Source organism: Homo sapiens, chromosome 13 (assembly GCF_000001405.40).
Source record: "Homo sapiens chromosome 13, GRCh38.p14 Primary Assembly".
NCBI classification, from domain to species: Eukaryota; Metazoa; Chordata; class Mammalia; order Primates; family Hominidae; genus Homo; species Homo sapiens.
Window position 1 is genome coordinate 101595457 of NC_000013.11, and position 22138 is coordinate 101617594.

At 36.5% G+C, this 22138-nt stretch overlaps 1 protein-coding gene across 4 annotated transcripts in view; it reads left to right on the top strand.

Annotated features, from left to right (window-relative positions):
- The window catches only part of ITGBL1 (integrin subunit beta like 1), a 268182-nt gene that overhangs the window by 142782 nt on the left and 103262 nt on the right, over positions 1-22138 (top strand). For all 4 annotated transcript variants that reach the window (NM_001271754.2, NM_004791.3, NM_001271755.2 and 1 more), the window contains one exon: positions 2697-2843. In NM_001271754.2, coding sequence (NP_001258683.1) covers positions 2697-2843 — 147 coding nt within the window. The remainder of the gene's footprint in view (positions 1-2696; positions 2844-22138) is intronic.

The following is a 22138-nucleotide window of genomic DNA, read 5'->3' on the forward strand; positions in this document are numbered from 1 at the left end:
AGAGGACAAACGTTGAAACTATATCTAACTCATACAACTCAATAGCAAAAAAAATCAAACAACCAGATTAAAAAAATGGGCAAATGACCTGAATAGACATTTTTCCAAAGAAGATATGCAAATGGCCAGTGGGTATATGAAAAAAGTGCTTAACATCACTAATAGGGAAATGCAAATCAAAACCACAATGAAATATGACCTCACAACTGTTAGGATGGCTGTTATCAAAAAGTCAAAAGATAGATGTTGGCAGGGTTGTGGAGAAAAGGAAAACTTCCATGTTGTTGGTGAGGATGTAAATTGATACAGCCATTATGGACGATACTATGGAGTTTCCTTAAAAAATCAAAAAGAGAATTATATGATCTAGGAATTTCTGGATTTATGTATAAAGGAAATTAAATCACTATCTTGAAGAGCTGTCTGCACTCCCATGGTCACTGCAGCATTACTCCTAATAACCAAGATATGAAAACAACACAAGTGTCTGTTGTAAGATGAATGGGTAAAGAAAATGTGAGATATATATCTATATATGTAACATGATGTTTTGATATGCATATGCATAATATGCATATATTTACATATGTGTGTGTGTGTATATATATATATCTATATATACACAAATACCCAGTGGAATAGTATTCGTCCTTTAAGAAGGAAATCCTTTCATTTGCCACAACATGGATGAACCTGGAGGACATTCTGCTAAGTAAAATAAGCCAGACATAGACAAAAAAACACTGCACGATCTCACTCATATGTGGAATCTAAAAACGTTGAACTCTTAGAAATAGAGTAGAAGGGTGGTTACCCAGGGCCAAGGGGTAGGAGAAATGGGGAGACTTTGCATACAAACTTTCAAAGTTATAAGATGAATACGTTCTGGAGATCTAATGTACAGCATGGTTACTATAGTTTGTAATACTGTCTACTTGCATTGTATGAGGAGAGTACATCTTAGATATTCCCACTGCACATAGACACACACACAAAGTTAACTGTGTGAGGTGATGGATATGTTTATTATCTTGGTTGTGGTAATCATTTCACAATGCATATGCATATCTAAACATCATGTTACATACTTTAAGAATCTACAATTTTTTGGTCACTTATACCTCAATAAATCTTGGGGAAGAAAAGAGCGACCTCTTCTGAATTCTAGATTTCATGCTTTTTGTCAGTTCATGGCCCCCAGTTTGACCGTGGTTGTGAGACCTTAATAAATAGCGATCCATTAAATGGTTAATTTAAAAAAATCCTGCTCTGAATAATATTCCATTCTTTGGATATACCACAGTTTATTTATCCATAGAGGAATCTTAGATGCATATTACCAACTGAAAAAAAAACTGAAAGGACTACATATACTGTATGACTCCAACTATATAACATTAAGGAAAAGGCAAAATTATGGAGGACAGTGAAAAGATCAGGTTGTCAGGGATTGGGGAAAGGTGTGGGAGAGGGACGGATGACTAGGCAGATCACAGAGGGTTTTCAGGGCAGTGAAATTACTGTGTATGAGTAGTGAATTCATGTCACTATATGTTTACTCACACTCATACAATGTACACTAAGAGTGGACCCTAATGTCAACTATTCACTTTGGGTAATAGTGATGTGTCAATGTACGCTCATCAGTTACAGCAAGTGTACTTCTCTGGTGGGAATTGTTGATAATGGAGAAGGCTATGCACGTGAGGGAGAAGGAGGTATATGGAATATCTCCGCATCTCTCTCAGTTTTGCTGTGCACCTAAAACTGCTCTAAAAAGAAAACAGTCTTAAAAGAATATGTACTCTCTCTGATATTGTTTGTTAGCGTGCTCTATAAATGTTAATTATGTCTACTGGGCTGTTAATGTCAACTTTTCTATATCCATACTGATTTTAATTTCACTAATTGCATTAATTACTGAGAAAGGAGCGTTTATATATTAAAAAGTAGTCTAAAAAGCAAAAAAAAAAAAAAAAAAAAAATCCTGCTTCAAAAATACAGTTAGTCCTTCCCTGTGACTGCCCTCCATGCAAATTAATTGCCAAATCCACCAAATACTCCTTTCCGTTTTTTCTTTTTTTGTTGTTTTTTTTGTTTTTTTGTTTTTTTTGAGACGGAGTCTCCCTCTGTCGCTCAGGCTGGAGTGCAGTGGCATGAACTTGGCTTGCTGCAATGTCTGCCCCCCTGGGTTCAAGTGACTCTCCTGCCTCAGCCCCCTAAGTAGCTGGGATTACAGGTGCACGCCACCATGCCTGGCTAATTTTCATATTTTTAGTAGAGACCGGGGTTTCACCATGTTCGTCAGGCTGGTCTCAAACTCCTGACCTCGTGATCTTCCCTCCTCGCCCTCCCAAAGTGCTGGGATTATAGACATGAGCCACAGCGCCCGGCCCAAATACTCCTTTAAGGCCCCAGCAAACCAATACAATCACATGCACCTGGAATTTGACAGCTTGAAGTTTATAGCCTTACTAAACTGTTTATCTTATCTGTTGCTTTTCTCTACCCCTCAAGATCAATTCATATAAGTCAGTTATTTAAGAATTTGAGAAAAATGTGCGTTTGCCTTAATATGTTATATTATGTTCATCAAGATCCTGACTCATTTGTGACATTTGCTGTTAGAATGAAAACTAATTCCAACTTCATTATCTTTATGTACATTTTTATTTTTTGCCACTCTCACTGTGAAGGTCATGGACAGTGTAATTGCGGAAGATGTGACTGCAAAGCAGGCTGGTATGGGAAGAAGTGTGAGCACCCACAGTCCTGCACGCTGTCAGCTGAGGAGAGCATCAGGAAGTGCCAGGGAAGCTCGGATCTGCCTTGCTCTGGGAGGGGTAAGTGAGGTCTCTCAGGGCTTCCCACGGCCTCTCCATCACAATTCAAATGAATTCAATGCACACACATCTTTTTGTTTGTTTGTTTGTTTTTTGTTTTCTGCTTTTTGGTTTTTTTGTTTTTTATTTTTTTATTTTATTTTTTATTATTATATTTTAAGTTTTAGTGTACATGTGCGCAATGTGCAGGTTTGTTACATATGTATACATGTGCCATGATGATGTGCTGCATGCATTAACTGGTCATTTAGCATTAGGTATATCTCCTAATGCTATCCCTCCCCGCTGCCCCCACCACACAACAGTCCCCAGTGTGTGATGTTCCCCTTCCTGTGACCATGTGTTCTCATTGTTCAATTCCCACCTATGAGTGAGAATATGCCGTGTTTGGTTTTTTGTCCTTGCAATAGTTTGCTGAGAATGATGGTTTCCAGTTTCATCCATGTCCCTACAAAGGACATGAACTCATCCTTTTTTATGGCTGCACAGTATTCCATGCTGTATATGTGCCATATTTCCTTAATCCAGTCTATCATTGTTGGACATTTGAGTTGGTTCCAAGTCTTTGCTATTGTGAATAGTGCCGCAATAAACATACGTGTGCATGTGTCTTTATAGCAGCATGATTTATAATCCCCTGGGTATATGCCCAGTAATGGGATGGCTGAGTCAAATGGTATTTCTAGTTCTAGATCCCTGAGGAATTGTCACACCGACTTCCACAAAGGTTGAACTAGTTTACAGTCCCACCAACAGTGTAAAAGTGTTCCTATTTCTCCATATCATCTCCAGCACCTGTTGTTTCCTGACTTTTTAATGATTGCCATTCTAACTGGTGTGAGATGGTATCTCATTGTGGTTTTGATTTGCATTTCTCTGATGGCCAGTGATGATGAGCATTTTTTCATGTGTCTTTTGGCTGCATAAATGTCTTCTTTTGAGAAGTGTCTGTTCATATCCTTTGCCCACTTTTTGATGGGGTTGTTTGTTTTTTTCTTGTAAATTTGTTTGAGTTCATTGTAGATTCTGGATATTAGCCCTTTCTCAGATGAGTAGGTTGCAAAAATTTTCTCCCATTCTGTAGGTTGCCTGTTCACTCTGATGGTGGTTTCTTTTGCTGTGCAGAAGCTCTTTAGTTTAATTAGATCCCATTTGTCAATTTTGACTTTTGTTGCCATTGCTTTTGGTGTTTTAGACATGAAGTCCTTGCCCATGCCTATGTCCTGAATGGTATTGCCTAGGTTTTCTTCTAGGGTTTTTATGGTTTTAGGTCTGACATGTAAGTCTTTAATCCATCTTGAATTAATTTTTGTATAAGGTGTAAGGAAGGGATCCAGTTTCAGCTTTCTACATATGGCTAGCCAGTTTTCCCAGCACCATTTATTAAATAGGGAATCCTTTCCCCATTTCTTCTTTTTGTCAGGTTTGTCAAAGATCAAATAGTTGTAGATATGCGGCATTATTTCTGAGGGCTCTGTTCTGTTCCATTGATCTATATCTCTGTTTTGGTACCAGTACCATGCTGTTTTGGTTACTGTAGCCTTGTAGTATAGTTTGAAGTCAGGTTGCGTGATGCCTCCAGCTTTGTTCTTTTGGCTTAGGATTGACTTGGCAATGTGGGCTCTTTTTTGGTTCCATATGAACTTTAAAGTAGTTTTTTCCAATTCTGTGAAGAAAGTCATTGGTAGATTGATGGCGATGGCATTGAATCTGTAAAGTACCTTGGGCAGTATGGCCATTTTCACGATATTGATTCTTCCTATCCATGAGCATGGAATGTTCTTTCATTTGTTTGTATGCTCTTTTATTTCATTGAGCAGTGGTTTGTAGTTCTCCTTGAAGAGGTCCTTCACATCCCTTGTAAGTTGGATTGCTAGGTATTTTATTCTCTTTGAAGCAATTGTGAATGGGAGTTCACTCATGATTTGGCTCTCTGTTTGTCTGTTGTTGGTGTATAAGAATGCTTGTGATTTTTGCACATTGATTTTGTATCCTGAGACTTTGCTGAAGTTGCCTATCAGCTTAAGGAGATTTTGGGCTGAGACAATGGGGTTTTCTAGATATACAATCATGTCATCTGCAAACAGGGACAATTTGACTTCCTCTTTTCCTAATTGAATGCCGTTTATTCCCTTCTCCTGCCTGATTGCCCTGGCCAGAACTTCCAACACTATGTTGAATAGGAGTGGTGAGAGAGGGCATCCCTGTCTTGTGCCAGTTTTCAAAGGGAATGCTTCCAGTTTTTGTCCATTCAGTATGATATTGGCTGTGGGTTTGTCATAGATAGCTCTTATTATTTTGAGATACATCCCATCAATACCTAATTTATTGAGAGTTTTTAGCATGAAGGGTTGTTGAATTTTGTCAAAGGCCTTTTCTGCATGTATTGAGATAATCATGTGATTTTTGTCTTTGGTTCTGTTTATATGCTGGATTACAGTTATTGATTTGCATATGTTGTACCAGCCTTGCATCCCAGGGATGAAGCCCACTTGATCATAGTGGATAAGCTTTTTGATGTGTTGCTGGTTTCGGTTTGCCAGTATTTGATTGAGGATTTTTGCATTGATGTTCATCAGGGATATTGGTCTAAAATTCTCTTTTTTTGTTGTGTCTCTGCCAGGCTTTGGTATCAGGATGATGCTGACCTCATAAAATGAGTTAGGGAGGATTCCCTCTTTTTCTATTGATTGGAATAGTTTCAGAAGGAATGGTACCAGCTCCTCCTTGTACCTCTGGTAGAATTCGGCTGTGAATCCATCTAGTCGTGGACTGTGTTTGGTTGGTAAGCTATTATTGCCTCAATTTCAGAGCCTGTTATTGGTCTATTCAGAGATTCAACTTCTTCCTGGTTTAGTCTTGGGAGAGTGTATGTGTTGAGGAAATTTATCCATTTCTTCTAGATTTTCTAGTTTATTTGCGTAGAGGTGTTTATAGTATTCTCTGATGGTAGTTTGTATTTCTGTGGGATTGGTGGTGATATCCCCTTTGTCATTTTTTATTGAGTCTATTTGATTCTTCTCTCTTTTCTTCTTTATTAGTCTTGCTACCGGTCTATCAATTTTGTTGAACTTTTCAAAAAACCAGCTCCTGGATTCATTGATTTTTTGAAGGGTTTTTTGTGTCTCTATTTCCTTCAGTTCTGCTCTGATCTTAGTTATTTCCTGCTTTCTGCTAGCTTTTGAGTGTGTTTGCTCTTGCTTCTCTAGTTCTTTTAATTGTGATGTTAGGTTGTCAATTTTAGATCTTTCCTGCTTTCTCTTGTGGGCATTTAGTGCTATAAATTTCCCTCTACACACTGCTTTGAATGTGTCCCAGAGATTCTGGTATGTTGTGTCTTTGTTCTCATTGGTTTCAAAGAACATCTTTATTTCTTCCTTCATTTCGTTATGTACCCAGTATTCATTCAGGAGCAGGTTGTTCTGTTTCCATGTAGTTGAGTGGTTTTGAGTGAGTTTCTTAATCCTGAGTTCTAGTTTGATTGCACTGTGGTCTGAGAGACAGTTTGATATAATTTCTGTTCTTTTACATTTGCTGAGGAGTGCTTTACTTCCAAGTATGTGGTCAATTTTGGAATAGGTGTGGTCTGGAATGCACACACATCTTAATTTAAAAAACAGCTGAGATCCCTGAATGAGGGGCTATTAGTCTTTTTAGAACTAATAATAAATCCAATTTCCATGAATGAAAGTACATGGAGAAATATGATTCTCTTTCTCTCTTTATATATATCTTTTGCACACAGACACTCTCACTCACTGTCAGCCTACTTTAGCCTTAAGGTATGTTCAATTTCAGTTCAGTTCAGTTCAATGTTACATTAAAAAACACAGTTTAGACGTTTGCTTAAAGTTTTCTGAATGAGACCATCTAATTGTCCACTGACATTTATGAAACCCAGTAACATTATTTTGAGGACAGTGTTGGCTTTTGAAAATTCATTGTATAAACAAATAGCTATGAATAAGCTTTTGTCATTTGAGAAGGAAGGCATGTAGCCTCAGGTGTGTTCTTGGTATCAGATCAGTACAAATTGGAGAAGGACAAATTCATCTAGAAGAACACGTGTTCCATTCCTCTTGATTTATCAAAATAAGAAATGCAATTTCACTTCCCACATGAGAATAACAAAGTTAATATGAAATATGCTTTTGAAGAAGTCGTAATTGACATTATTACCAATTTTGTTCAAGAAAGGAAACAAAGACTTTCTTCACTTGAACATTAGATCAGAAATTTAATTTTATGTTGCGTTTTTCTTTTTTAAAAAATATATGTTAATAGAGATATAATTCACATACCACAAAATTCACATACCACTCAGTATTTTGATATATTAACATAATTATGCAGCCATCACCACTGTCCAATTCCAAAAAAAAAGTTTATCATCATAAAATACCCTGTTACCCTATAGCAGCCACTCCCCATTCTCTTGTCCCAGAACCCCTGGAAACCACCAATCTACTTTGTCTCTATGGACTTGTCTATTCTGAGTATTCCATACAAATGGAATCATAAAATATGTGATCTTCTCGCATCTGGCTTTTTTCACTTAGCATAAGTGTTTGCAAGGTTTATCAAAGTTGTAGCATATGTCAGTCCTTCATTGCTTTTTATGGCTGAATAATATCCTGTTGTATGGATACACCACCGTTATTTAACCCTTCATCAGTTAATGGGCATTTGGACATAGGATTTCTACTTTTTGGTCGTTATGAATAATGCTGCTACAAACATTCCTGTGCGACTTTTTGGGTGGACATGTCTTTTAATTTCTTTGGGGTCTGTATCTGTGAGTGGAATTGCTGGGTCATAGAGTGACTCTGTTTTACCTTTTGAGGTAGCACAGGACCGTCTTCAAAATGACAGTACCATTTTACATTCCACCAGCAGCGTGTGGAGTTTCCAGTTTGTCCACATCCTTGCCATTTCTTGGTATTGTCTGTCTTTTTGATTCTTTAGAGTATTCTTTATAAAGAAAACTCCAGAAAGTGTCTCAGGTTGTTTGCAGCACAGATATTTTCTCATATCCATTATTTTCCCCTAAGGGTTGTAAGTAGAAGAGTGGAGGAGTAGGATATGGGTATAATAATCTTTTTAATGTCAAAAGTATTTTTGACTAGCCCTGTATTTCACCAGTAACCCCAGACAGGAACCATTGTTCTATCTGCATTGGAATATTGTCATTATAGTGCTGCATAAGCCATCATGCTTTTAAAGTAACAAAGATTAAAATTCATATCCCTCAGACTGCTTAGTTACCAACACTTGTAATCTACAGCAAAAAATAATTTTACATTATTATTTTACATTTACACAAAGCTTTATCTGTTGGGCCCAGACATGTAAAAAAAATGACCATAGGAAGGCTAACCACTGTCTCTTTTTTAAAAAAAATGTGTGTGTATTTTCAAAAATGTATTATAATCCTAGGGACAATTCCATTTCAAATTAAAAACCTTGGGAAGTAAAGAAAATGACTTCATCTCAAAAATAGATTTTTGATCTTGAGGATACTTTTTCAGTTACATTTAAGTTAGAGAACTTTAGGTACAGTGATTTTTACTGTTATCTTAAAGTGGTAAACAAAGCAAAGGGTGATCTGATATCTTAAAACATTATTTAAAGGGTTTACATTTGGTAAAATTATTTAAACTCCAAATGGTTATGTTGCTAGTAGAAGTAAACAGAACAGAAACCAATAGGGATATGCACTTATATTTTAAAACAAAGAAATGAACAAAATGTATACTTTTAACAAATGCTTTTATATTTTGAAGTTAAAAATGTCAAACCATATAATAGAAAGATAAGAAAAGCATACAAAATAGCTCTCAAACAGAGAAAATCACTGTAAGTATATACTTATAGCAATGGTTTTTCATTTGTCTCTAAATTTTTTAATATGTAGAACAAGTAAAATGAAATTATTGGGGACTTAATATATTGATCTTTTATAAACTCCACTAGGTTTTTCCTCAAACATGCATGTTTCCTGTCTTTCTGGAGATTCACTAACTTATTTAGCTACCATTTTTTAAGCAATAGAGTATGTTTAAACTTTATTTTATTAAAAAGGTGTTGAGTAAATGTATAGAATTATGATTTTTAAAATTGTTTATAATTCATTTCAGCCTCTTGAAGTACTTTAAAACTAAATAAGCTTCATCAGTTTCCTTACATGAGCAAAGTAATTTTGCAGGGAATCATGACAGTATGTAAGATTTTTGAAAACGAAAACCAAGAATTTATGACAGCCAGTTGAGTGCCTTTGGTCAAGGTCACGGACCCTTTCTTTCTCATAGTGCTACATCTGCAAACACATTGGTACTGGATGTTTTGAAGCAAATGACCAGTATGAAAACTTGTAAAGAGTTCGTTTTGCAATTTATGAATGAAAACTGCAGCTGTGGTTACATGAGTTAGGAAAGCAATTATAAGACCCATCAGTTTCTCAATCCTGACAGCCGCCATCACCTCACCAGCTGGAAAAAAAAATCCTAGAAGAATATACTGAAGTTTGTCAGGGACCAGGTGAAGGCAATATATATATATATATATATATATATATATATATATATATATACACACACACACACATATATATGTGCATATATGTGTGTATATATACGCATGTATATATGTGTACATGTGTATATGTATATATACATATATGCGTACATGTGTATATGTATATATACATATATGCGTATATGTGTATATGTATATATACATATACGCATATATGTGTATATGTGTATATGTGTATATACATATATGCGTATATGTGTATATGTGTATATATGTATATGTGTAAATATACATGTGTATATGTGTATATATACATATGTGTGTGTATATGCGTATATATGCACATATAGACATAGGCATGTGTGTATATGCGTATATATACACATATAGACATAGGCATGTGTGTATATGCGTATATATACACATATAGACATAGGCATGTGTGTATATGCGTATATATACACATATATAGGCATGTATATATGCATATGCGTATATATATATACACATATCTAGACATGTATGTGTGCATATGCGTATATATACACATATATGGGCATGTATGTGTGTATATGCGTATATATACACATATATAGACATGTATATGCGTATATATACACATATATAGACATATGTATATGCGTATATATACACATATATAGACATGTATATGCGTATACACATATAGACATATGTATATGCGTATATATACACGTATTTAGACATATGTATATGCGTATATATACACGTATTTAGACACGTACGTGTGTATATGCGTATATATATACACGTATGTAGACATGTATGTGTGTATGCGTATGCACGTATGTAGACATGTATGTGTTTATGCGTATACACGTATGTAGACTTATGTATGTGCGTATATGCGTGTACACGTATGTAGACATATGTATGTGCGTATATGTGTGTACACGTGTGTAGGCATATGTATGTGCGTATATGTACTCGTGTGTAGACATGTATGTGCATATGTGTATATATATGCATATACATATGTATGTGTGTATATGTGTATATATACACATATATAGACATGTATGCGTGCATGTGTATATGTACACATATATAGACATATGTATGCGTGTATGTGTATATATACACATATACACATATATATGCATATATGTGTATATATATGTGTATATATACACATATATATGTATATATGTTATATAGCATATATATGATATAAGGCTATCCTTGTATATATATGTGATATATATATATGCTATATATATATATATGCTCTCTCTCTCTCTATATATATATATAGCCTTCACGTGGTCCCTGATATACTTCAGTATATTCTATTAGGATTTTTATATATATATATATATAGCCTTATATCATATATATATGATATATGTATCAGAAATTAAGTTAAATTTCTAATTTCTTATTTCTGCTGGTGGTGACTAAGTGTGATCATTATGTCTTGAAGGTAGAATAACTTAGATGATGTCTTACATTCTGTATCCTGTGATTCCTTGATTTCTATACCATATTGGCTGTAGATATATTTTCATGTAACTAGATGTAGCTCATATAGCCATTATAGGTATAAAGACATTCGTCCTAATTTCGGTTCCTGGGAGTAAAGGTGGGAAAACACTTTCTCTAGTCTCCTAGTGTTGTGCTCAAAAACTATAATGGCTTATGGTAGGCTAAACGTTAGTTTTACATTCTTCCTGATTAAAGAATACATCATTATTATTATCGATGTTCTCCTGAGCATCAGTTTGACTTTGGTTTAAAAAAATGTGAGTAAAGTTAATTTGCATCACATCTGAGCAGAAGCTATAAGAAGCAGTGAAAAATCTGCCATTGTCTCAGGCAGGAGGATTTGCAGTGCTGGAGATCGTCTCTGACCCATTAGCTTGGCTCTCTGAATGAGGATGGGCAGGAGAAACCTCTATTAATCCACCAAGGTTCTATGATGTGAATGAGAAAGAAACACCTGTTGTTTTAAACAAGTGAGATTTTGGAGGGAGGTGTTCTTGCAGGAGAATCCCTGACTGATAATCGGTTCCCCATATAAAATGTAGGGAATGTGGTTAAGCCAAGATAAACAAACACAGCAAAAATCATGTTTACATAATTTATATTTTGTATTATATACATAATTTATAAATGCCATAATTTATATTCTTGTAGCAGGATTCATGTACAAATCTCTTAGTATTGATTCTTGGATATGGAATACATAGGTCTAAAAAAACCATGCATATATTTTATAAATGATGTGTTTATGCTCTTCTGTCAACAGCATTTATGTGCACTTTGTCAACAGGTAAAATGATAAGAACATTGAATACATTTTTAAAAATTTCCTAAAAACACAATGAGGTAGGAAGACGTATAATTATTATTCTTTTTACAGAAGAAGAAATTAGATATCTGAACAGTTTGCCATTTTACATAATTGCAATGGTGCAAGTTTAAAAAAAATTAATACATGTTCTCTGACTCCAAGGTTGTTGTTTTGGATAACTTACAGGTTCTTGTTACATGCCAATTTATTGGACAATATATATTAAACATATTTCCTGTTACAAATATAATTCTGCAGAATAATTGAAATGGCTGCATAATATTCCATTATATAGTTGTAGCAAAATAATTCAATCAATCCTCTTTTTATTAGATATCTATATGTTCTTTTATTCAAGTTCTAAATGCCATAATTTATATTCTTGCAGCAGGATTCATGTACAAATCTCTTAGTATTAATTCTTGGATATGGAATACATAGGTTTAAATGAAAAAAAATAAGTTAAATATTTTGAAGAAAAAAGTCCAATTTATAATCTCTAAAATAAATTATACAGGTGTGCTCTCCTGCCGGGGGCTTAAGAAAAGTCTTCTTCCCCCACCACTAGTGACAATTTAAATTATCAGTTAGCTCTTCTCAATGTATATTGCTGTTGGTGTTACAAACTTTTGCCATTTATCAAACTTCTTTCATTGACTTCTATAATCATCAAAACGAATGATTTATCTGCAGGCATTATTATTCAGAGGCTTGTGTTTTCAGTATTTGCCTTCTTTGATCATCGTTTGTCCTTGTGTCTAAGTCATCCTTTCATTTGATACTGCAATCCCATGTGCTTTTCTTATCTGTCCTGTTTGCCCTTTGGTTTTCTTTTATCAGACTTGTTCTATGCGGTATTGCATATGTTTTAGTTCCTTAAACACATAACCATACACCCCCATAAGGGAAGGTGTGAAATGGGGGAAGAATGATAGATGGAGGCTAATTATTTAATATTGTAACTTCTAGAAAATAGAAACCATGTCCTCATTTTTATCAATTAGCATGCTTTAATTAATGAATTAAGAATTGTTTCAATTCCCTTACCTAGGAACATACTTTCAAAGAATAGTAGCATGCCAAATTCTCACCATCTGGATATTTTTCAATGAAGTCACAATTTATCTTTCCTTTTTATTGGGAAAGCCCATCTTTAATTTCCTGTTTTATTTTTCAGAGAAGTTTTCATGATACATGCTTTCTTTCCTTTTTTTTTTTCTTTTTGACCTGTGTGTTTTTTACTCTATGTAATTTTGGACAGCTGAATCATTACCTTTCTTATTCATGTTTACAGAGAGTTTATTTATTTGGAACAAAGAGAAAGTTTAAAAATTTGGAAGTTCTCCAAACATTTTCAGTTAAGCAGCATACCATATACAGTGATTATGATTATATTTTAAAATCCTTTGTGGCTTAACTAACCATCTTATCATAAGTTTGCTGCTGCAGGAAATGTGCTGAGTGTTTAGGTAACAAGGGAACCCCCAATGTGTTCTTCCAGTAGTACTTTGAGAAAGCAAGTGGGATTCAGATTTACCCTATTCTGTGCTTTCTGCTAGATTGATTCATTATTTCTGCCAGTGCTAGAGGACCCTGGAATAGTCATGAACTGAGTTATGCCATTTGAAACCTAGTTTTTATAAACTATAGCCAAAGATGATAAATAAATGACCCTGCAAAATTAACTTATTTACTATTTCTTATCCAAGAGGAATGGTCCTGCTTTTAGTGTGCATCAAATAGGGAGAAATATAAATGAATTGGTGAGTTTTTTCAGAAGGAAAGGCCTGGACTTTGTCATGTTATGGACATTAAATGACAAGAATAAGCCTGCATACCACCAGGGAGTCTTCCATGCACCTTTGATCATGCTTTGAACTGACAATGCCCACTATTATGGGTTGTATATGCTCTATTACCATGCAATAGCCCATAATAGTAATATTATATGTAGAAATAGAAGAGCCTGTTTATCATTTGCTTTCTTTATACTCATTATGATATCTTAAACTGTATATGCATCATACATTTCAGAACATGTCGGGAATGTAATTGTTATTTATTATGAGGTTATTAAGGATAGTACTGATATGAGAAGACTGAGATGGAGGGAGAATTAAATAGGGTGCTTCTGGTATCCTTTATCTATCTTTATGATGCACTTGGATTTCTGTGTTGGGACATTGTGTATTCTCATAGAGATAGCCAAAGGTGCAGGTGCTCAGAATAGTCATCTACTTGAAGGTCCTAGTTAAATCCAGTATTAAATCTCTCAGTCATATGATGAAGCAGCATTTACTAAGCTAATGACATAATCTGCATATGTGAAAAGAAATTATTAAAGGGAATGGAAAAGAGCCTTGTTAAATAGAAGAGACGATCTCATTCAGGTTGATTTTTCAGAGATTCCCCTTTGCAGTAGGTATTTATGTTCCTTATTTCTCCTCTTGTGTTTGATCTTGCCTTTCATCTTGCTATTGTTATATTCAACAGAACAGAGAGAAAAGAAGAATCCAGAAGCTGAATTTAATACTTTTGTTTATTTTTAAGAGATGGTAGAAAATAATTCAGTGGAAAATAATAAACATAATATATTTTAATTAACTGAGGTTTTTCTAACTAATAGTCCAGAAAACTGTATTACTACCAAGTAAGAGAGAGTATTTTTTTCCTGTTCTAAATAAACAATCTTTATCTATGGCAACAGAACAGTTTGTATCAAAGATAGGAATTGATCCAAATAAATAGACAAGTTTCATTACATTTTGCATTATTTTTATGTTGTAAGTTGAAAACCAGTGAAATTCTTTGGCTAAGATAACTTCCTAGTAAAGACTGCAACCAGTATTGTCAAAATGTATTTGAAATGAAAATAGAAAATTGGACTTGAATTTAATTCCAATTTCTCCAGGCAAGCTTAAAATAAATGTGACAGTTATGAAAATTTTGTTACTATGATTATATATTTATTTCTATTAAAATACTAAAATTATAGTGCAGATTGTAGTGGAGAGCTTTAGCAGTTATTTACCTGATTTCATTCAATATAAACAGGCAAACCAGATACTTTTATGGGAAACAATTTGCTCTGGTTATCAGCCATAATCTTCATAGAATCAGCCTCAACAGATGTTCTTTCTAATAGAAAACCAATGAGGCACAGTGTTATCCCTTTGTGTAGCCTGTAGAGTCACATAGCTGATCAGAACCTGCGATGCCCCTCTTAGGATACACAAAACTTAATAGGGCTGGTCATTGTGCTATAGTTGCAAAACGAATGCAGATACTCTACACTCACAGCATACAGACAACATGTACATCATATTTTCATAAACGATGTTGCTTATCATAATCAATCTAATATTTATTGATCTTACCACCATGTATCTCTGGGCTAAGCTAGTGGTCAGAAAACTAGGGTTAGGCCTACATTCTCTTTTTGTAAATAAAGTTTTATTAGATCATTGCCATGCTCATTTGTTTACGTATAGCTACTTTCTTGCTGTAATGGCAAAGTTGAGTAGTGGCCACAGAGAGCACAGGGCCCACAAAGCCTGAAATATTTCTCATGCAGCCCCTTACAGAAAAAACCTGCTACCCCTGAGCTAAGCATTTGTGATAATTGTGACAAATATGTCGGGAGAAGGGATTGAGTGTCTTGAGAATCAGAGGAAGATGACATTTGCTCAATTTGTGTGCAAATATGGCTTCATGAAATGAGTGAACCTAGTGGGTATCTGCAGAGATGAGTAGTAGCATTAGGCAGATAATAATTTAGAACAAAAATAAAAGGACATCCCAGGTAGGAGGAAGAGCAGGGACAGAAACTCTGAGTTATGATGGGAATAATGTGTAAAGAACAGGAAGCATACTCACTTGTGATGATTTAGAAAAAATAAGAAAATGGTGGGAGACAGCCTGGGGGGAAATATGTCTCTCCCTCCCACCTAACTTCTTCTTGTGTGATTGACAGGTTTCAGACAGAAAAATCCACTTCTTTGCAGAGCTCTCTATGTCATAATTGTCTTATGAGGTTAATTGTTAGTAAAATGATGTCATAGAAATGCCAAGTTAACGTTGCTTCATGCCCATCCATTGGGTCATTGCTAAAATGCCAAGTTTTATTTAACTGAATTTAGCGAGATTCAAGTTTTTCCATGAACAAGACAAATACTTTAACATCCTTTCATGTGCCCTTCTGCACCTCGTATCATGTTTACTTAACTACTGACAGAAGATGAGAAAACAAGCACAAATCCAAAATTGTTTTATTCGAAGGCATTTATATCAGCAAAGTATTAAAATGACAACTGTCAGCAGTCAGATTTGTATTTTGAGAATGAGATTACTATTATCTAGATATTGGGTATGTATATAGATGCCTACATGTTTAAAATGGGAAAGGGTCACGTTGCACAGTTAGTTGAACAGTAAGCTACTGGGATAGAGGTGGGCAGACCCTGAGTTAGTCTGGGTTCAGTCACTAGCCAGCTGTGTGACCCAGCAAGTCATACACTGAACTGGCAGCAGAACCCTTCTCGGTGACCTTGAACTTAGCTCCATAAGCTTGCATTGCCTCCCTTTAACCTCTCTTTGCAATAAGTGAATTTGACACTGTGTTCTGACTCATCCGGACCCCTAGATTTTATATCTACTCAAATGGACACCATGCCTGTCATTTCTGACATACCTTCATAGCAGACTTTGTGTCTGGTTTTGCAAAGCTAACTAGACAGACTAAGATCTGACTAACTACGTCTCATGAGAATCATGTGACTAACCCATCGTTCTTTCAGACTCTGCTTTCTACCAAGAGTCTGCTTGGGATTCAAACTAATATATTCTTCAGTTATGGCATTCTTTCCTTTGGAATATAACAATTTAAGATGGATGAGATTTTGGTTCTCCATAAATATTTATTTTTCATGTGTTGCCTACTATTTGGATAAAGGCAAAAAGGCAAGATTCTTTGGCTTCCTATTTAAGTTTATAAATAATTTTGGCCTCTTTGATGCTCAAAATATTCATGCCATGTGGATGTTGGTAAATAATACCAAATGGCCTGGCATGGTACAGTTGTAAGCTGCTTAAGATTTGGATGGTCTCTAGGGTGAAACAGCAAATATTTTGAGGTCATGTATAAAGTCCTTTATAAAGATGTGAACTCTTTTGCCAAGATTTCTTTGCAGAGCCCTGTATTGTATAATAGTTAACCAAAGGAAGTTAAAAGGAATGTGAAAAACATAAGAAAATATGGAGTATGTAGTGCCTGGTAAAGTCTCTCCTACTGCTTCCTTTAATTTGCTGGAAGTCTGGGTATGGTTAATGATACTGTTGAATTACAGTTGCAATGGTGAGAGAGAATTGTAAAACTCACCCTCTTGAGTGTAGCTTAATGTAATTATAAAAAAAAAGGTGGTAGCAAAATCCAAGTGACATAATTTATGCTTGAGTCTAGATATATTCTGGATAACTCTACATAGAGAGGAAAACCCAGAGGGATTGCAGTTTTTAGGTTAGGCTTCTTAGTAAATAAGATTTTGGATGTGTTAGGAGGCCTGGAGTCTTGTGACCACACAAGGGTATGACAGGGTGAGCACAGGGCGACACTATTCACCCCTGCTCATCTATTCATCAGTGATACTCTCCTCTTCACTGGCAAGGTCCCTGGAAACACTATTAACAGGCATCAGTTTCTTGTTCGGGTAGAAAGACACACATGCTGCCAACACCGTGCCTTCCCTCAGCGTCCGTAGCTTATCAAAACAGCCAGGCTCCAACTGTGAGGGCGTGTGCTCTGAGGGGGCAGGGATGGAAGAGATGGCCACGTGGCTGCATGACACCCTCATAGAGCTGATGTCTCACACCACTTATTATTAATGTGACTTTGTAGAGTTTTGTATTTTTAAAAAAACTTTTTGGACCCTTAACTTTGTTATCTATAAAAATGGCATTAGAACAATTGCTGTTTACTCTGAAATGTTGTTGTGAGAGACCCTTGAAACAGTATATATGAAACTTCTTTGTTAACTTTAATATACAATTTTACGGGCTTACAAGGTTTTAAGTAGATGGCATAAAAATGACCTCCAGGGCATACGATTTAATAGAGAAAACAAGGTCAACGTTCATTCATTCATTCATTCATTCACCCAGTCAACATATATTTACCAGGGTCCTCCTGTGTTCCCAGAACCACTCTCAGTGCTGAGAAAAAATAGACAAGGCAACGGATGTCATAGAGTTTGGGAAAATAAGTTAAACCAGAAAACAAATAATTTCAGATACTCCTATGAGAAGGGAAATCAAGAGAATATAAGAGAGTGGCCAAGATGAAGTCTGGGGGCTGCTGTAAGTACGGAGGGCAGGGACCCTCTCCCAGGAAGTCATATTTGGCCAGATTGGAGTATTGAAAGTGGGCCACATGACAACTCAGGGAAGATGGCAGAGGAAACAGGAAAACAATTTCAGACTCAAGGGATAAAGTTTTCTGGAAGGAGATGTAAGTCAGGTGGGCTTCATCCTTTAAAAAAATCATGGAGGAGATGAGGGCACTTGGAGAGCTTGCAGAAGTATTTTTAAAATACCAGTGCTGAGTTCCCACCCGACTTGATTTGTCTGCAATATGGCCTGGGCGTCCGGGATTTTAAAAGCTCCCTGGGTGACTCTGCTGAGCAGCCACATGAAGACTCACCACTCTGCAGGGTTGTATAACAGGCACGGTCCTGCAGCAGGAGGATGGACACTTTAGTTTTTGCCCTACTTCCCACTGAGCAAACAGGGCTTTAGGGAGTGCTTAAAAGTTGCACAAAACTTATTGCTCTGTGGTGTCCTTTCCCAAAGCTTTGTTGAATAGGGATAGGAGGGAAAGGAATGAGTCAGGGACAAGAGGGGTGGGTGGGTCGGGTAGGGGTGTAGAGAGAAATACAGAGAGGAGATCTTGAACAATGAACCACCTTAGGCACGTTTGAATACCGGCAGCATACAGGACAATGATTATTTGTTCTATATGAAAGATAATTGGCTGAATAGATAGAATTGTCAAAGAGTCCAGAAAAGGGGCTTTGTCAGAAATGCATTTTGGGTTTTCGCCATAGATAATTTCTGCTTTGAAAAATAATATGGAGGAATGTATTTAGCCACTCTTTTTCCTAGAATAGCCATGGTGATATTTAATAATAAAATATTATTTAGTTCTGTTACCACAACAGTACTAATTGTTTTCCATGTTGTCTTTTTTCCCATGCATATTTTCTTATGTGTTGAGGAGAGGCATTCCTCAGGATTATATTTTCCTTGTTAATGAAACTAAGAATTTTGTGGATGAGTCTGTGTAGGTGCAGTTTGAGCACATTTTCCATTATTAAATCAAAGAACTGACCAGCGAATCCATATCAGCTCCCTACAATCTGTTCCCAGCCCAGCCTTCCTGCTTGGTCCGCTGCTAAGCTGGCTCCTTGTCTGCTTTGTCCCCAGGTTTTTGTTTGGGCTTTCGCAGCTACGGTGAGAGGCGACACTTCTGAGAAGTGAGGCGCATGCTCAGGGGAGCAATGAGCCAAGGCGAGTTTAGCAGTAAAACCATTGCATGTTGTCCAGAGAGAGGCTCCTCAGGACCAATGCTGGGAGATAGCCCAGAGAGAGTTAGGCTGTCCTCAGATGCTCCCCAGAAACCCTTCATTTGCATAGTGCTTCTTTTGAAGAGCCCGATTTTGAAACACCACTTCTGTCTTAGCTGCAGGTGACCCCTTGTGATCCACATTGGAGGTATACCCCAACCCTGCCCTCAGGTTAGATTCCTAGGGCTGCAAAAACAAATGACCACATATTTGATGGCTGAAAACAACAGAAATTTATTCCCACAGCTCTGGAGATCAGAAATTTGAAATTGAAAAATGTCAGGATCCCTCCCAAGGATCTAGGAGAGAATCCTTCCTTGCTGTTTCTAACTTGTGGCTTTTGGCGTTCCTTGGCTTGTGACTGCATCACTCCCTGCTCTGCCTCTCTCTTCACATGGCTATCTTACCTGCCTCTCTGTGTGTCCAAGCTCCCTTCTCCTTTCTCCCATAAGCACAATAGTCTTCGGACTTAGGGCCCACCCTAAATCCAGGATGATTCAGCTCTAGTCTTTAATTATATCTGCAAAGACCCTATTTCCAAATGAGGTGACACCCTGGGGTCCTAGGTGGACATGAATTTTGAGGAACACTATTCAACTGATTATACCCTCTTAGGGGAAATCAAGCCCGCTTCTACCAGAGATATTTATTCAGAAAATAAATGTCTTATCCACCATATACTACTTTATTTGCTGATTTGTGCACATTACTTTGGCCTGAATGTTTGTGCCCTTCTTAAAAATTACATGTTGAAACCTAGCCCCAAAGTTGATGATATTAGAAGGTGGGGTCTTTGGGAGGTGATTAGGTCATGAGGGTGGAGTCCTCATGAAAGGGAATGGTGCTCTTACAAAAGAGACCCCAGAGTGTGGTAGTACATGCCTGTAGTCCCAGCTACTCAGGAGGCTAAGGTGGGAGGATTTCTTGAGCCCAAGAGTTTGAAGCTGCAGTGAGCCATGATGGCACCACTGCAATTCAGCCGGGAAGACAGAGACCATGTCTCTAAAAGTAATTATAATAATAATAAAATAATAAATAAATAACAAAAGAGACCCCAGAAAGCTAGCTTGACAATTCCACCATGTGAGGACACAGTGAGAAGGTGCCATCTATGTGTAGGAAGCAGGCTCTCGCTAGACACTGCATCTTCCGGTGGCTTGATCTTGGACTTCCCAGACTCCAGAGCTGCAAAGCATAGATATCTGTTGTTTATGAGCTACTCATCTATGGTATATTTTATAGCAGCTCAAATGGACTAAGACAAGTATCAAAGTTCAATTAGATACAGCGTAAAAAAGAAAGAGAAAAACATAAATCATTGCAGTAGAATGTAGTAAATGCTCTGACGGAGATATTTGAGGTGCTCTCTACCAGCAAAATTAAGAGGGTGAGGGAGGTCTTGAATGGTCAGAAGTTTGCTCCTGGAGAAAGGGGGAAGAATATGTCCAAGACAGGAAATCCCATCACGAAGCACAGAAAGATGAAAGGATATGATAAGTTCAGGTAATTGTTTCATCCAGCTTATGTATATCCAAGGTAGGATGGGAGTCTTTATTTGTAAGTAGATCTCCAGTGTGAATATGAAGTATTTTGGCTTAAATTCTGGGGGTATAAATCTGTTTCATAAAACTTTCCTTCTGTGGTATAAGTTGCTCAGAACTCTGAGATCGGCTTTCTGCCTTCATAGCTAGTTTTCTTTCTTTTTCTTTTTATAATTGTTTATTTTTTTTAAATGGAGTCTCACTGTTGCCCAGGCTGGAGTGCAGTGGCGCTATCTCAGCTCACTCCAGCCTCCGCCTCCCAGGTTGAAGCGATTCTCCTGCCTCAGTCTCCTAAGTAGCTAGGATTACAGGCATGCACCACCATGCCCGGCTAATTTTTGTATTTTTAGTAGAGATGGGGTTTCACCACATTGGCCAGGCTGTTCTCAAACTCCTGACTTCAAGCGATCTACCCACCTCGACCTCCCAAAGTGCTGGGATTACAGGTGTGAGCCGCTGCAGGCAGCCGATAGCTAGTTTTCTGAGAGGTACTCTCTGATGTGCTTCCTTGGCCAGAATAATCTGCATTGTAATGAGGGAGTTGGGGAATCCCATATCCAGGGACTCTTAGCCTGGAATTCATGCAACCCCAGAGGATGGTTAGGTATCAGACAATGAGAACACCTTAAAATGGCACAAATATATTGTGTTTACCTTTTAATATTTTTGTGCAGAAGGAGTCCATAGCTTCTTTGGCTAGATTATAAAAGGGCTCCATAATATCAACAAAGGTGGCAGTGATTTAGACATCTCTGCATAAAATCAAACAAAGACTTTTAGCTGTCACAATATATTATTTTGAGCTACATATGCTTTAACTAGGTACTGTATTGTTTACTAAGTAAATTAGTAAATTATTCAAAAGGTAGTCAAACATAGAAGTACCTTGTGATATCCAGTTTTATTTATAGTTTTTGATTCTGCTTTTAAAAAATTGGAATAAAAAGGTAGACCAAGCCCCAAATTATTTTACTATAAGTCATAAGAATTTGTCACTGAAGTTTCTTTTAAGGATAATTGGTAACAAGCAGAAGTTCAAGCAGAGAAAAGAATTCCTCTCCTGTTTTACTCTCAGAAGACAGTGATCTTTGTTCTATAATTCCTTAGGTTTTAGTGTGTATCCATGAGAAGGATCTCTATTCTGATTAATGTGGAAGCACTGGATGCTCATATGAGTACAACCTGGCATCCTAGAAATAATAGGAATACAGAAACAAGAAGAGAAATAATTTTAATTTCTATGCTAATCAAGTTTCATTTGAAAGTCTTTTA